This window comes from Homo sapiens, chromosome 16 (assembly GCF_000001405.40).
Source record: "Homo sapiens chromosome 16, GRCh38.p14 Primary Assembly".
Taxonomy (NCBI): domain Eukaryota; kingdom Metazoa; phylum Chordata; class Mammalia; order Primates; family Hominidae; genus Homo; species Homo sapiens.
In genome coordinates this window covers 15,626,095-15,642,887 of record NC_000016.10, presented here as the reverse complement: position 1 = coordinate 15,642,887, position 16,793 = coordinate 15,626,095, and the positions used below count along the sequence as shown (strand labels likewise).

Genomic DNA, 16,793 nt, shown 5'->3' with positions numbered 1-16,793 from the left:
AGCTAACTGGGACGCGCCAGTTGGGCCCCCCACGAAAGAGTTGGCTTGTCTCCCTTTCGGGTCCATTCACTACTGTCACTGTTGGCGCCGCTGTTCCCCTTCGAGGGCATTTGGCTCCCCGCCCGCCCCTGTCTGACCCCTGGTGGGGCCCTCCAGGAGTGAAGTGCACAGCTGGAAGGTTAAGAGAGAAGGAAAGGGGCGGGTGTTTTTGCAACACACTCCCCCCTCCCCGGCCGTTTTGCATTCTCCTCGGCCTTTTAGCAACACATAGGGTGTAGTCTCAGGGTTGACAATGTCTAGGGCTTCAGCCACTCTCACTAGTAGTTGTAACGCGACCTCGTGATACACCTTTTAGAGTTTCTCAAGCACCTTTCCGGTATTACCAAGAGCTGTCCAATTGCATTTGTGTCTTTTGGACTTCTCTGAGCGGTAAATATTCTTCTCTTTTGCATATCGGTGTATTGAAACCTAAACTGTTTTCCTATTTATTAAGCTTTATTCGTTCAACAGTTATTTATTAAAATATGCCAGGCATTGTACTAAGGACAGGAGTTGGAATAGTGGATAAGAAAACATAGTCTCTGCTGTCATGGAGTTTATAGCCTAATGGGGGAGAAAGATAATAAAATAAGCTAAAAAGGCCGTTTTGGACAGAAGAGCTATGGGGGAGAAAACGGTAATGGGATGGGGTGGTGTGGGGTCAAAGACTAGATTGGGTGCTAAGGAAACAACATTTGCTAAATGTTCCCCGTGGATTACCTCATGTAATCCAAACAACGGCCTTGTAAGGTGGTTTCTATTATTATCACACCCATTTTAGAGATGGGATCTGAGGTTCAGAGAGGTTGTGAGTTGTCCAAAGCTGCACCGCAGTCAAATTGGAGACCAAAATGCAGACAGTCGACAGAGCCTATGCTCTCCTCATTGAATTGGTCAAAAGACTTGAAGAGAGTGACAGAAAGGAGACTGTCGCTCAAGTCAAACAGAACCTGCTTTTGGCTACCTAAGTTGCTTCGTGGATGGTATTTGGGAAGTTTTCAGGGTGCAGGCACCTGAAAGTTTTTACTTTTAATCGCTTGTATTGAGCAGTATTGAAGGCACCTTGATGTAGTGGAAAGGGGTGAACAAGCCTAATCTTGTGTCAGGCTCGCTACAAAACTTCATTAAGTTTCTTTTTCTCTCTCTGCAAAAATGTAGCTAATTTCTCCCCTGTCTATTTCACAGGATTATTGCAAAAATTATATAAGAGGATCCCACCGTCTGGGTTTTTTTCATCATTATATTCCTTGTGCCAAGCACAGGCCTGCTGCATAGTAGATACTAAGTAAATATTTGCTGAATGAAGACATAAGTAATGTTAAGTGAAAATACTTTATAAACTAGATTATACTGTGAATGTTAGCTCACTTTCAGGATTTGGCTTTGAAGAAGTTTGAGAGAATGTTTAAGTTATGAACACTGTGAATATCACAGATTCTTACGATTTTGAGAGGAGTTTTTTGGGGGACATAAAACCTGTATCTAATAGGAAAGACAAGAATCGTAATTTACTATCAGTGGTAGCAGTTAAATCCATCTCCAAATTAACCACTCCCAATAGTGTGTAGTAGGTAATGTTTACTTTGTATTTACAGAGTAGGGAGCATTTTGGTTGGCACAAGAGATACAGTGGTGAAAATAGACAGTGGGGTTCATTTATCTAATTTTTTTTTTCTCTGTAATGCAGTGGCGGGGAGAAATTAGCCACATTTTGCATAGGAGGAAACAGAAACTTGAAAACAAAAATTTTTTTAGAGATGGAATCTCACTCTGTTGCCCACGCTGAAGGGCCAGTGGCACAATATAGTTCACTGTAGCCTCAAATTCTTGGGCTCAAGAGATCCTCCTACCTCAGTCTCTCTAGTAGCTGGGACTAGGCGCATGCTGCCACACTATGCTAATTTTTTGAACTTTATTTTATTTTAGAGCTGTGATCTTGCTATATTGCCCAGGCTGACAAAAGAGCCACGTAGTAAATATAGGCTTTGTGGGCCATACAGTCTCTTTGCAGAGACTCTCTTTGCAACTCTGCAATTGGAATGCAAAAGCAGTCATAGGCAGTATTTAAGTGAATGAGTGTGTCTGTGTCCCAATTAAACTTTATTTATGGACACTGACATTTTAATTTCATGTAATTTTGTTTGTTGGTTTTTGAGACAGGGTCTCACTCCGTCGCCCAGGCTGCAGTGCAGTGGTGCAATCACAGCTCACTGCAGCCTTGACTACGCAGTCTTAGGTGATTCTTCCACCATAGCCTCCTGAGTAGATGGGGCTACAGGCATGCACCACCACGCTCAGCTAATTTTTTGTAGCCATGGGGTTTTGCCATGTTGCCCAGGCTGGTTGGGAACTCCTGGGCTCAAGCAATCCACCCACCTTGGCCTCCCAAAGTGCTGGGATTGCAGGCCTGAGCCACGGTGCCTCGCTTGCATTTATTGTTAAGACCTGTAAGAGTGTTGTTGCTCTGGCGTAGATATAACACATCTGCGACTTGAGATTTTTCTATCAGTTAGATTTTTGGTGGTATATCAGATTGCACTTTCATCATTAGTAAACTAAGAAATTGGTTCAATTTGTTCTGTAGCAAATCAAATTCAAAGTCCACAGAGGCCACTTAGTTTGGACTTTTCATGCTCAGATCAAGAAACCAGTGCAAGAAGTTGCTCTTAAGTCAATTTTAAAATCTTACATATAGTTGTCAATGAGGATGTGGTGGTGGCTCTTTTACTCAGATTAGATGCTCTCTTCTGTTAACTTTTGACTTTCCTGAGCAGCATCTTTAGGGAGAGAGAGCCGAAAAGAATTCAGAAAAACTGTAGAAAAAATTGATTCCAGCCAAGTGAGGAGGTGAAGTCTCACTCTGGAATATGCAAGTTTCCAAGATATGGCTACCTCTCTCAAACATGGTTACATGTGGAAAGGAAACAAGACTCATGGAGAGTTCATTTTTTATTTGAAGAGCTATGAAACATGAAGAATGGCAGATTATAGATTTTTTAAGAAATCAGGTTGTTGCAGTTAGATTTTAAGCATAAACAGTCAACCAAGTTTACCAAATTTTATTAACCCGTAATATGCTCTGATATTTTGTGTTTTTTTCTTTCTTTATTTTATTATTATTATTTTGTTTGTTAAGATTTGAATTGTTGGCCGGGCGCAGTGGCTAATGCCTGTAATCCCAGCACTTTGGGAGGCCGAGGAGGGTGGATCACTTGAGGTCAGGAGTTCAAGACCAGCCTGGCCAACTTGGTGAAACCCCATCTCTACTAAAAATATAAAAATTAGCCAGGCATAGTGACAGGCTCCTGTAGTCCCAGCTACTCTGGAGGCTGAGGCAGAAAAATCGCTTGAACCCGGGAGACGGAGGTTGCAGTGAGCTGAGATCGTACCACTGCATGCCAGCCTGGGCGACAGAGCGAGACTTCCTCTTGAAACAAAGATTTGAATTGTTGAGAGCCATAGGACTGTAAATATAGCTGTGGTTTCACATTTTAGTATGTTGTAAAATTTGTACTTATGCAAGGAAATAACACTGAAATCTTACTCATTCTTAACAGGGTGGAAGAATGAAAGAAAAGAAAGATGAAAGGATGTTGAATCACTTTGCATGGCTGTATGATGGAAGGAAACGGAACTGAGAACTCCTGCAGTAGAACACGTGGATGGCTTCAACAAGATAATGATGCTAAGCCATGGCTTTGGAAATTCTCTAATTGCTTTTCTCGTCCTGAGCAGACGCTGCCACATAGTCCCCAAACGGTAACTATATGCAAGACTAAGGATGTAGCAGATTCCTCATCCAAATAGATGAGAGAGGTCCATTTGGTCTGGGATACAGTCTCTCATCCTAGAGTCTGTGCCACATTTTTCTGTAGATCTTGCCTGTATTGCCTCTTATACCACATTATAATGTGAGAGCACAGCACAATTTTTTAACTCTTCTATTTCACTTTGAGTAACAGTAGATGCCTTGAATATTTAATGTTAAAATTTGGGAAAGATTTCTTCCTCATTAAAGTCACAGGTAACAAAGATTAAAAATCCACATTGTGGAGTAAAATCAGAGGAAAATACAAAATATGTTGTATTTTACTGTAGCCCTCTTGAGTTTTGAGTCTATAATCTAGGAAGGGTTGGGAAGAGCTTATCCACTGCCTGTTTTTTATTTCGAGATTTCTCTTGAATATTTACTTCTCAGTATACATTTATGTCTCTAACTTCTTGCTTACTCATTGTGATTTTGACATTTTCTTTTTTTTTTTTGAGGTGCAGTCTTGCTCTGTGGCCCAGGCTGGAGTGCAGTGGTGCGATCTCGGCTCATTGCAACCTCTGCCTCCCAGGTTTAAGCAGTTCTCCTGCCTCAGCCTCCTCAGTAGCTGGGATTACAGGCCTGTGCTGCCATGCCTGGCTAATTTTTGTATTTTTAGTGGAGACGAGGTTTCGCCATGTTGGCCAGGCTGGTCTTGACCTCCTGACCTCAAGTGATCCTCCCGCCTCAGCCTCCCAAAGTGCTGGGATTACAGGCGTGAGCCACCGCGTCCAGCCAATTTTGACATTTCCTGACTTCATGCACTCATGTTACCACCTTTCTATTTCTTATTTTCTATTGTATGTGGGATTCAAGTGAGACTGTAATATAATTTTATATAAGGGTATTAACAACTTTTATTTGATTTTATTTTTTGAGACAGAGTCTCGGCTCAGCCCCCTAGGCTGGAGTGCAGTGGCACGATCCGGGTTCACTGCAACCACTGTCCCTAGTTCAAGGGATTCTCCCGTCTCAGCCTCCCTAGTAGCTGGGTTTACAGGCACTCGCCATTATGCCTGGCTAATTTTTGTATTTTAGTAGAGATGGGGTTTCACCGTGTTGGCCAGGCTGGTCTTGAACTTCTGACCTTAGGTGATCCACCCGCCTCGGCCTCCCAAGTGCTAGGATTACAGGCGTGAGCCACCGCGCCTGGCCGGGTATTAATAACTTTTTAAAAACCAGTTTAATTCTCTATTTTCTCTAGGTTTTCACTATATAGTTGTCTTTGTTGCAAGACATCAAGTAATTTGGGTCATTTTAGGAGTGTTTTATTTTAGAGACAGTTGACAGTGAGGGTTGGCATCAAAAGCAAGGCTTCCTGGGATGGGGTGGTAGATCTGGTCCTCATGGAGTCACACAATTCAGAATTACACGGTCAACTTTACAGATCTTGAAACTCAATTTTGTCAGTGGCATGCAGAATGGAGTAGGTTCAGGGGATCAACTCATAGTAAGCCTGCCTGTATGAGCCTGATCTGTATAAATCAGAATACCAGTGTGTTAATTTCAGTCTGAACTATAATTACCAAGAGGGCAGTTCATTGGCTGGTCAGCCCGTTGCTGTTATCTCCCTTTTAGGGAAAGTTTAGCTGAAAATTCACATTTCTTCCAGATGAGCCTATGCTCCCAGGTGAGTGTAGAATCACAGCAAAGGGAGTGGAATTTTAGGCGTCAGATGGACCCTCATATGCTGTGAACGGTGAGCACGTCTCAGTCACTGTAGCAGGGCCCCCTCTTCATCTTAATGTCTCTTGCAGTCAGCCTGTGAAGGCTGATGAATTCAGTCCCCTTTCAGTGGCTAGGTACTGTGCCAGGTGGTCTATGTGCTCTATCTTATTTTATCCTCCTAGCAACTCTAGGAGGTATATTGTATTCCCAGTTTATGGATGAGGAAACCAAAGTGTAGGTTAAGTAACTTACCCAAGGTCATACAACTATTGAGTATCAGATTCTAACCCAGGTCTCTGCCACTGATGCTCTGCTCAGAACCTTTGTAATATACTGGCTTCCTGTGTCTGTGTTGGAGTCATGTGGCAAACTATTTGTCTTGGATCTTTTTCTTGGATAGTTTTCTAATTCTCTAAATCTTTTCACTGGCTGCAATATAATTGTCATTATGGCTTTAGGTCATGATATCTTAGGGTTTATGAAATGTCATCAGCAACACGGATGGGCCATCTGGGTAGATGGCTGATCTCATCTGTGTTTGAAACTTTACTCTTTTCCTTTGGGGGATCTTACTAAAACCCCTTATGGCCTGACCACAGAACTATTAAGTATTGTCCTCAAACCACTGTGTGTGTTAGCCATCTTTATTGAATGCTGTTTGTGAGGGGTTGTTTTCATACCACCTATTTTGTCTTCAGAAGATTCTGTGAGGCAAGGGGAAATTACCAAAAGGAAGTTACTGAGGCATGGTGGCTGCTAAAGATGTAAACAGGCCCTCCCACCCCAGTCTGTTTCAATTCAGGAAGAATGTAGTCTTAATTTTAGTTGTGTGTTCCAGTGTTCATGTCCTGCAGACCTCTCTGAAGAATGTTCCTGGTTTTAACTAGCTGTGATTCCATTTTGTTCAGTTATGATTTAGTGATGTAACAGAATTGAACACTATTTCTGTTTGTGCATGCAGTAAGATATGAGTAACCAAAAAACCACGGACCTCATAAAATTAATTTATGTTCTGATTTTCTTTTCTCAGAAAGAGTACATGGAGAACAAGAAAGTTGCTGTGGAACTAAAGGATGTACCATCACCCCTTCATGCTGGCTCTAAGCTTTTTCCAGCAGTCCCACTTCCTGATATTCGTTCTCTTCAGCAGCCTAAAATACAGCTTTCTTCTGTCCCCAAAGTAAGCTGCTGTGCTCATTGCCCTAATGAACCCTCCACTTCGCCAATGCGTTTTGGTGGTGGTGGTGGCGGTAGCGGAGGTACCAGTAGCTTGATTCACCCGGGCGCACTGTTAGACTCGCAAAGCACCAGGACAATCACGTGTCAGGTAGGGTCAGGGTTTGCTTTCCAGTCTGCATCTTCACTCCAGAATGCCTCAGCTAGGAACAATTTGGCAGGCATTGCAAGTGACTTTCCCAGCATGTGTCTAGAGAGTAACCTGTCTTCCTGCAAACACCTGCCCTGTTGTGGAAAACTCCACTTCCAGTCATGTCATGGTAATGTGCACAAGCTGCATCAGTTTCCGAGTCTGCAGGGCTGCACCTCCGCTGGCTATTTCCCCTGTTCTGATTTCACAAGCGGGGCTCCAGGGCATTTGGAAGAGCACATTTCACAGTCGGAGCTAACGCCTCACTTGTGCACCAACTCTTTGCACCTTAATGTGGTACCTCCGGTTTGTTTAAAGGGCTCACTTTACTGCGAAGACTGTCTAAACAAGGTTCGTATCTTTTTATTTCTTAAGTTGGGTGCAGCTGAGGATTGAGGAATGACTTTTGAAGTGGATTTATCTTGAAAAGTATTATACATGGGGTTGAAGATTCTCCCATGGTATAGGGGAATCTCCCCATCAGCATAATTTTTGCTGGTTCTGAAAGAAACAAAGGGTAAGATGGGAGATCATTCAAAAAAGTAGAGAGTCATTATTTTTGTAGTTTATACTTTTAGAGCCTCTTGTTGCAAACAAGAGGTTGGCAAAGCCTTCGTGTTCTATGTTTAAAGGCTAAAGCACGATGGATTTTTTATAACTTACATTCAGCTTACACATGGGCCCATTCATGTAAGGTAGATAACTGCATGTTGTCTTTTTGCAATAATGTGGGAAACCTGAAGCTTGGCCTCAGTCACATTGGTGTTCAAGTGAGACTTTGCTACCCTTTATGTAAAATATGTGTGAGGTCTTCGTTGCAGCAGACTCATGCCCCAGAATGTAAAGATCTGACCACGTGAATATCTTTCTTGATCATGTCAAGTCACTTCTGGAAATGAATTTATGAACTGATAGCTAATGGTTCTTGGAAAGATTATTTGAAAGTCCTTTTTATTAGAGGCTAGCAAGTGGAAAGGTAAAACACTTAGAGTGTATTTTCAGTTGTTGTATATAACTCCAGCTTCTGAAATGATGTATCTGACACCTCCTCCTTTTTAAAAAAAATTTAAAACAGCCAGCAAGAAATAGCATAATCGATGCGGCTAAAGTCTGGCCAAATATACCACCTCCAAATACTCAACCTGCACCTCTTGCTGTCCCTCTGTGTAATGGCTGTGGAACCAAAGGAACAGGGAAGGAGACCACGTTGTTATTGGCGACCAGTCTAGGCAAAGCTGCTTCAAAATTTGGTAAATGACAGTATGGCATAAAATGTGCATATTTAAATAGCTTTCAATATCTCATACTAACATTGCATTTAATCACCTTTGAAGGATTCCTTATGGTTCTAAAGCTACTGTGTATGTGAGTCTCCAATTCCATATCTTGGTAGAAATCTTTTTATTATTATGGACCAGGAAGTCATTTGCCCTTTATGTTGGGCCGAGGCTATACACAGAAGCTGTGTATAGAAAAATTGGTAGTATATCAGGAGAAATAAAAGTGCTGGAAAAGACTTGGTGTCACCTTAGGTTGGAAATCACACTTGTTGATGGTATACTCCCTAGAAGTGCTTAGAACAATTTACTAATGGCTGATTAAAAACAGTATTTGAAAACCAAAGAGTTCTCAGTTAAAATAATTTCCCTAAAAAGTAGTTAATGCGACGTTTTGAAAACATTTTTAAAATATTAAATCAGATGTTAATGCAGCGTTAACTCAAAATCAACGACAGTAACAGCTTCACCCTTTGTCAGCTCCTCAGTGTTGGTTACTACCAAGTAGGTAGATAAGTGTGGGCTAAGCTTGAAAGTCGGGTCCTGGAGCTGCAGTATCCGGTCAGTTAGTGTGCTTGTGTTCAGAGAAGCATCACTGCTTAATGTCAGAGTGGCTCATGCTTGGAGGTGGATTTATTGTGGGCTTAAAGTTACTTGACTTTTAGATTTGTCTTCTCCTGAAAAACAGAAATAATCTCTTAGAGTGATACTTTTTGACAGCTTGATTGCTTATTAGGTCAACCAGTGAGGTTGGTAGCCTTAAAACTTGGCATTCATTAATAATTTAGTTTTTCTACCACTGAGAATGATAGGTAGTTTATTATCTTATTGTAACTTGCCATTTATTTTCCACTACAAGTAATTGAAAATGTTAACATTTCTTAAGGGTCACCAGAAGTTGCAGTAGCTGGACAGGTGCTAGAAAACTTACCCCCCATTGGAGTTTTTTGGGATATTGAAAACTGCTCCGTTCCCTCTGGCCGGTCAGCAACTGCTGTTGTGCAAAGAATCCGTGAGAAGTTTTTTAAAGGCCACAGAGAAGCAGAATTCATCTGTGTATGTGACATCAGTAAAGAAAACAAGGAAGTTATTCAAGAGCTGAATAATTGCCAGGTAAAAAAAAAAAATTTAATAATTTTAATCTACAGTAGAGGAATAAGCAGATATTTGTTTGTTTGTTTGTTTTGAGACAGAGTCTAAGTGTCACCCAGGCTGGAGTGCAGTGACGCATTCATGGCTCCCTGCAGCCTCGAACCCTGGGACCCCAGTGATCCTCCCACCTCAGCCTCCCAACTAGCCAGGATCACAGATGCACGCCATCATGCTCGGCTCATTTTTTATTTTTTGTAGAGACGAGGTCTCCCTATGTTCCAACCAGAAACAGAAACTAAGAACCCATGACTGTATTCTGTCCCTTGGACACCCCTGGATGGCTTTCAGGATCCAGGGTTAGGTGGTGGAGGCTTGTCTCAAACTCCTGGGATCAAGCAGTCCTCTTGCCTTGGCCTCTAAAAGTGCTGTACGTGTGTGTGTGTGTGTGTGTGTGTGTGTGTGGTGTTTTTTTTTTTTTTAGAATTCTGATTGAAAATTTGTTTAATGATATTGCATTTGTGCCAAGTTTTCAAATAAAATAAATTAGCAAAAGATCACTTCCAAAGTACTAGAAATAATTTAATCATTCTTTCAGTTATGCTCCCTAATTTATATTTTAGTTCTATACTGGTATAATGGTTATATATGTATTATTTCCTTTGATTTTCATTACTGCTCTTTGAACCAGGCACGTAGAATATATAATTCACAATTTACAAATTAAACTAAGGCCCTGAGAGGTGAAGAAACTTGTTTAAGATCACTTGGCCAGGAAGAGCAAAGATCCAAATCTAGATTTGTCTGACCCCCAGAGTCTGCTTTTAAGCTGAAACTAGAATTTGGGTCTTTTGACTCTTAGATAATTAATTATATTGATAGTCCATATTGCTTGTCTAAAATGATATACCCATGTTCTTTACAAAAACCAGCAAGTTATTATTGTGTATTGCAGGTGCCTGAGGCAACTTTCTCAAAATAAACCTTTCCTTCCTTTGGGGACTTATATGCGAGCCTGATAGTTTTAACAGAAATAAATGCATTTTAGCTCCCTTAGGGGATATCCTCCCTCCTCTCTCTACCACCTCACCCCAGATCCTGAAAGCCATCCAGGGGTGTCCAAGGGAGAGAATACAATCATGGATTCTCAGTTTCTGTTTCTGGTTGGGCTAGTAAAGCACCTTCCTTATCTCTCTTTTCTGCTTATTAGTAGGGACGGAAACTAAAAACTATGGCTTCCAGCTGCTAAAAGCCCAAAACAAAACAAAACAGAAAACAACAACAAAAGGCAGATTGCACAAGCTTGCATGGGTAGCATGGACAGTTGACATAAAACACAGCCTTAAATCTTATTTTAGTCATTTGTCTGATCTTTACCACCTCCAAATTGTTGGCAGAAGCTATTAGAGCAAATTTAACTGAGTTCAAATTTCACTTCCTATATTCTACTTATTTTCTGAAAGGAGGATGAAAGAAATGCAAAAACAGAAGATTGGAGATGAGAGCAGGGTTAGTCACAAACCCAGTTCATATCAAGAACCAATGTTGAGATTACTGAGATCTGTTGTAATTTTTTACCATTCCCAATAGTAATAAGAATTTTTTTCTCAAGAATTACTTATTAAAATATGGGCAGACATCAGTGATAGACTGGATAAAGAAAATGTGGCACATAATACACGATGGAATACTATGCAGCCATAAAAAAGAATGAGATAATGTCCTTTGCAGGGACATGGATGAAGCTGGAAGTCATTATTCTCAGCAAACTAATGTAGGAACAGAAAACCAAACAGTGCATGTTCTTGCCTTATAAGTGGGAGTTGAACAGTGAGAACACATGGACACAGGGAGGGGAAAAACACACACTGGGGTCTGTCTGTCGGGGTTGGGGGAAGGGGAGGAAGAGCATTAGAACAAATACCTAATACATGTGGGGGCATAAAACCTAGATGATGGGTTGATAGGTGCAGCAAACCACCACGGCACATGTATACCTATGTAACAAACCTGCACGTTCTGCACATGTACCCCAGAACTTAAAGTATAATAAAATTTAAAAAATAAAAAATATGGGCAGAATGTGTAGCAATTTTCTAGCCTCAGCTCCTGCTTATTCACCCTTATTATAAATTAATGCAGGTAACCGTTGCCCACATCAATGCTACTGCAAAGAATGCCGCTGATGATAAACTGCGGCAGAGTCTCCGCAGATTTGCAAATACACACACTGCTCCAGCCACAGTGGTTCTTGTGTCAAGTAAGTACAGAAACATCTGCTAATTTCAGCTAAACTCACTGTGTGGGAAATTATCATAGAAGCCAGCAACATGTGAAAGTAAAATGTATCCCCAAAGAGGCTGAAGTACATGAGACATGTTTATGGTTATTGTTGAGAACTGTTTAGAAAAAAAATTGGGTCTAGGTGGATTTCTGTATTTCCTCCTTGGAACTTGAGTTATTGTGGGACCAGGTTTATTTTTTATTTTATTTTTTTGTTTATTTATTTTGAGATGGAGTTTCGCTTTTGTTGCCCAGGCTGGAGTGCGATGGCGCAATCTCGGCTCACTGCAACCTCCGCCTCCCAGGTTGAAGTGATTCTTCTGCCTCAGCCTCCCAAGTAGCTAGGATTACAGGCATGTTCCACCACGCCCAGCTAATTTTGTATTTTTAGTAGAGATGGGGGTTTCTCCAGTTGGTCAGGCTGGTCTCAAACTCCTGACCTCAGGTGATCCACCCTCCTCGGCCTCCCAAAGTGCTGGGATTACAGGCGTGAACCACCACGCCCGGCCGGGACCAGGTTTATTAAAGAAAAATGTGATTTTTTTTTTTTTTTTTACCTTGTGCTCAGTATTAATAATTTTTAAAGTTTAAGTTAATTTTCAAATTTGAGTCTCCCCAACATATTTGCTCCTTTTTAATACTGAAAGTAACATATGTGTCTTGGAATTCTTTTGGTAAGATTGTCTTACATTCTTCTGATGTGAAACGTGTTTCTTTCCTAAGAAACGGGGGAAGCAATTTTGAATATAGTCCAGCCTTTCCTTTCTTCTCAGTGGGTGTCAATAGAGTTGTCTGTCTTTGTCAAGTGTTTCTAATGTTTGGGGATGGGGTTGGTCTGTACCTTTTCTTTCAGCTGATGTCAATTTTGCATTGGAACTTAGTGACCTGAGACACAGGCATGGTTTCCACATTATTTTGGTCCATAAAAACCAGGCCTCAGAAGCACTGCTGCATCATGCTAACGAGCTGATCAGATTTGAAGAGTTCATTTCCGACTTGCCCCCCAGGTTACCACTAAAAATGCCAGTAAGTGGGTTTGCGTTATTTTTGCCATTTTCCAATATTACATTGTGGAGGCTGAAAGACAGCCCATAATAAGGGGGTTGCCAGGCCCAGATGGGGCTGTTCTTTGTAAGAGGTGGGTTAGATTTTGAAGTAAGGCTTAGAAACCTTCGGTTCTTCTCACAAATATACAGATAATTGGTATGTATGAAGTTTGCTTTTATTTATTTCAAAATATCATATGAAATTGACTTGTAGATTTACCTTCCCAACTTGCCAGTGTCTTCAAAGCTAGCAGTGTTTTGTGTCAGGTGGATAGAAATAACGGATTAAAAGTCATGATTCTTTTTGCTTCCAAGTATTATGGGTAGAGAATATGGCGAGGGTTCTCACATACTTGTGTGGTTGGCACCAAATAAGTGGAGTCAATTGTGCATTTTTTTCGGTATTTAATCCTTAAGCTTCAGCGGGCCTCTGAGTCTGTGCTTTCTATTGTGCATTCCCTGTGGTGCATGGACACAATTAGCAGGAGTGGTTATTGCTCCACCTGTGTGTAGCCTGTTTATGCCATATACTGGGAGGAGGGTGTGAGCACATTTCCAGGACTAGCATTTCTGATAGACTTGACTTGGGATAAGAATGTTTATTGCAGTGCTGGGCTGTGTTTAAGCCGCTGGCGAATATGTGTGTAACTCTGAAAGAATTAATGATAATGGAGAAGGAGCCATGGTGTGGGTGATCCAGGAGAGTGGGCAATCCCATACGTTAAATGAAAGTCTTCACATATAATTTAATAACTGAGAGTTACAGAAGTACGTTAGACATGATCTCATGCAAAGTCTTCATTTAAGGGAGAAAGAAATCAGCTCTTAGAAAAAGTAAACGTGTCATTGGTGATTGCAGCAGTTAAGAGAGTGGGCCCCGGGTATCCTGATTCCGGCACTTGCCTGCTAGTCACCTGTGTCCCCGATACCCAACAAGCCCCCTGCGGTCTGGCTTAAGTTGAAACTCATGCTATGGACAGTTGAGAGTTGTGGATACCAGAGGCTTACCCAGGGAGTAAGCATATACAGGCCTTACCTTAATCTTTTGAGGCTCTTTCCTAACTCACCTTTGTCATTATTTGTTTTTAGTCACTTGGCTGTAGTTACATTTCTTCCCTTCTGCTTCTGTTTGACGGTCACTTTTCTAACTTTGAAGGCCTTATGTAAATACGGTGTTTTTTCCTGGGAGGTGAAGGTTGCAGTGAGCTGAGATCGCGCCACTGCACTCCAGCCTGGTCGACAGAGCGAGACTCTGTTTCAAAAAAAAAAAAAAAAGTAAATGTAGTGTTTTAGGTAAGAACTTGCCCACTTTGGAGATTCTTATTCCTTATGGTTAAAAAAACCAAAACAATGTTTTGATAATTCAAACCATTTAGTTTTGCTGGATGTTTTTTCCCATCCACTAGAGTGATAATTTAAGATACATTTCTTTTTATGTTCTTTAGTCTGTTCCTTTAATTTTAATAAATTAAACATACATTGGTACTGCCTGGGTTTTGAGTCCCAGGTGTAATAGGAAAAGTGTAGATTTTGTTGATAATTGGTCAGTACCCCTCAAATAAAAAGAAAAGCCTCTGATTAGAAAAGTATGGTGTGGGCCGAGTGATGTGGCTCACGCCTGCAATCCCAGTACTTTGGGAAGCTGAGGTGGGCAGATCACCAATCACCTAAGGTCAGGAGTTCGAGACCAGCCTGGCCGATGTGGCGAAACCCCATCTCTACTAAAAATACAAAAATTAGCCAGGTGTGGTGGCGGGCACTGGTAGTCCTAGCTGCTTGGGAGGCTGAGACAGGAGAATCACTTGAACCTGAAAGTGGAGGTTGCAGTAAGCCGAGATCACACCACTGCACTCCAGCCTGGGTGACAGAGTAGACTGTGTCTCAAAAAATCTAAAAAAAAAAGAAAGAAAAGAATAGTATGGTATGATCATTGTAAAAACAAACAAAACACAATATTTAGAAATGTGGAAAGTGAAAACCCCACAATTCTACCCTCCAGAAGTAACCACTGTTAATATTTTGGTATTGCCCTCCAGATTTAAAAAATGTACGTTTAAAAAAAAATGTGTCACATATACAGTGTTCTGTGGCTTTTGGAAAAAAACTATGTCAGAGCTTGGATGTCTTTTCATGTTAATATATATTAATATAAATCTGCCACATTTTAAAAACCAGAACTTTGGTTTGAAAAGTACTTGTATGGCTGGTCTTTATTTAACCAGTCTACCTGTTAGTGGACATTTTGTTTATACCCAGTTTTGTGTTTTGTTTTGTTTTTTACCATTTCCAGCAAGGTAATTTATATCTTTAGGCTCCTGGGCTGACATACCATAGGGTAATTTCCAAGGCATAAGAGTTCTGGGTTAGAACTTTACTAGCAAGATCCATGTCTTCCTCCAGGAAGGTGGTACTAATTTACACTCATAAGAGTGTCTGTTTTAAATGTTTGCCAGGCCAGTAAGTGAAAAACAGCATCATCTTATAATTGACTTTTAATCTTTAACACAGTGCAAAATATCCTTTTATGATTATCGTTGTTTGCTTTTTATTTCTTCTGTAAATTGTTCACATCCTTTGCCTGTTGTTAGTGATTTCTCTTATGGTTTCTGGATTTAACCCTTTATATAATTATCTTAAGTTTTCTCCTGGTGCTTTAATGGTTCTGCTTTTTAAAATATTATTCTTATTTAAAAAAAATTTTTTTGAGACTCTGTCACCCAGGCTAGAGTGCAGTGGCGTGATCTCCGCTTACTGCAGACTCCACCTGCCGGGTTCAATTGATTCTCCTTCCTCAGCCTCCCGAGTAGCTGGGATTACAGGCGCCCGCCACCACGCCTGGCTAATTTTGTATTTTTAGTAGAGAGGGGGTTTCACTGTGTTGGCCAGGCTTGCCTCGAACTTCTGACCTCAGGTGATCACCCGCTTTGGCCTCGCAAAGTGCTGGGATTACAGGCGTGAGCCACCGTGCCCAGCCTCTGGCTAGTTTTTTGTAGACGAGGTTTCACCATGTTGGCCAGGCTGGTCTTGAACTCCTGACCTCAAGTGATCCACCTGCCCCAGCATCCCTAAGTACTGGGATTAGAGGAGTGAGCCACAATGCCTGGCAATTTTTAAAAATTTTTAATAGAGATGGGGTCTCACTGTGTTGCTCAGGCTGGTTTTGAACTCCTGGGCTCAAGTGATCCCCCCGCCTCGGCCTCCCAAAGTGCTGGGATTACAGGCATGAGCCACCATGCCTGGCCAGTTCGTTCGTTCGTTCGTTTGTTCGTTCTTTCTCTCTCTCTCTCTCTTTTCTTTCTTTTTCTCCAGTTCTACTTCCTTCTTTCTTTCTTTCTTTTTTTTTTTTTTTTCACAGAATCTCGCTCTGTCGCCCAGGCTGGAGTACAGTGGTGCCATCTCAGCTCACTGCAACCTCCGCCTCCTGGGTTCAGGCAAATTATTCTGCCTCAGCCTCTGGAGTAGCTGGGATTACAGGCGTCTGCCACTTTGCTCAGCTAACTTTTTTTGTATTTTTAGTAGAGATGGGGTTTCACCATGTTGGTCAGGCTGGTCGCCAACTCTTGACCTCAGGTGATCCACCTGCCTTGGCCTCCCAGAGTGTTGCGATGACAGGCGTGAGCCACTGTGCCAGGCCAAGTTCTACTTCTTAATACATAAATTTCAACTTATCTGGAAGAATTATGACTACCCACTGCCAAATAAAACTTCCAGCCTAACTACTGGCAATCTGCTGTTGAAGCTGAACAGGCTCTAAATTGTTGGGTTTTAAAAAAATTTTTGTTTACTTAAGCCTATAGCTCCTAGTATTCCCAGGCATTCTCCTATGCAAAAACCAACCAGGACTGACCCTGCTCACCTTCTGGCTCTATAAGTTATTATTCAGCAGACCTGCAGAATAAATAGACTTTTAAAAAACAACTTCGTTGAGATATGATTTACATATTACAAAATTCAGCTCTTTTAAGTGTACAATAATTTTTAGTAAATTGAGTTGTACAATTTTAGAATATTTTTGTCACCTCAGTAAATCTATTATGCTAATTTATAATTAATCCCCTTCCCCACTCCCAGGCACTACTAATCTTTCTGTCTCTGTAGATTTGTATTTTCTGGATGCTTTATAGAAATGGAATCATATAGTATACAGACCTCTGTGCCTAGCATATTCTTTTTTATTTTTATTTTTTGAGACAGTGTCTCACTCTGTCACTCAGAGT

General features: G+C 41.2%; 1 protein-coding gene and 1 long non-coding RNA gene across 32 annotated transcripts in view; one reads left to right on the top strand and one right to left on the bottom strand.

Moving 5' to 3' along the window:
• The window catches only part of MARF1 (meiosis regulator and mRNA stability factor 1), a 48,768-nt gene that overhangs the window by 267 nt on the left and 31,708 nt on the right, over window positions 1-16,793 (top strand). For 13 of the 31 annotated variants that reach the window (XM_047434951.1, XM_047434945.1, XM_017023904.3 and 10 more), the window contains exons 2-7: window positions 3,597-3,798; window positions 6,546-7,232; window positions 7,957-8,131; window positions 9,045-9,271; window positions 11,390-11,507; window positions 12,384-12,556. In XM_047434951.1, coding sequence (XP_047290907.1) covers window positions 3,655-3,798; window positions 6,546-7,232; window positions 7,957-8,131; window positions 9,045-9,271; window positions 11,390-11,507; window positions 12,384-12,556 — 1,524 coding nt within the window. In that variant the 5' untranslated portion in view covers window positions 3,597-3,654. Of the gene's footprint in view, window positions 1-265; window positions 430-3,596; window positions 3,799-6,545; window positions 7,233-7,956; window positions 8,132-9,044; window positions 9,272-11,389; window positions 11,508-12,383; window positions 12,557-16,793 lie in introns of those variants that run through there. The other 18 variants (XM_047434955.1, XM_047434954.1, XM_047434950.1 and 15 more) reach the window with 4 other exon arrangements.
• On the bottom strand, window positions 7,090-8,878 carry LOC124903649 (uncharacterized). The gene is made up of 2 exons (XR_007065003.1): window positions 8,629-8,878; window positions 7,090-7,382 (listed from the first exon to the last, which is right to left on the bottom strand). It is a non-coding gene; the product is annotated as an uncharacterized LOC124903649 (long non-coding RNA).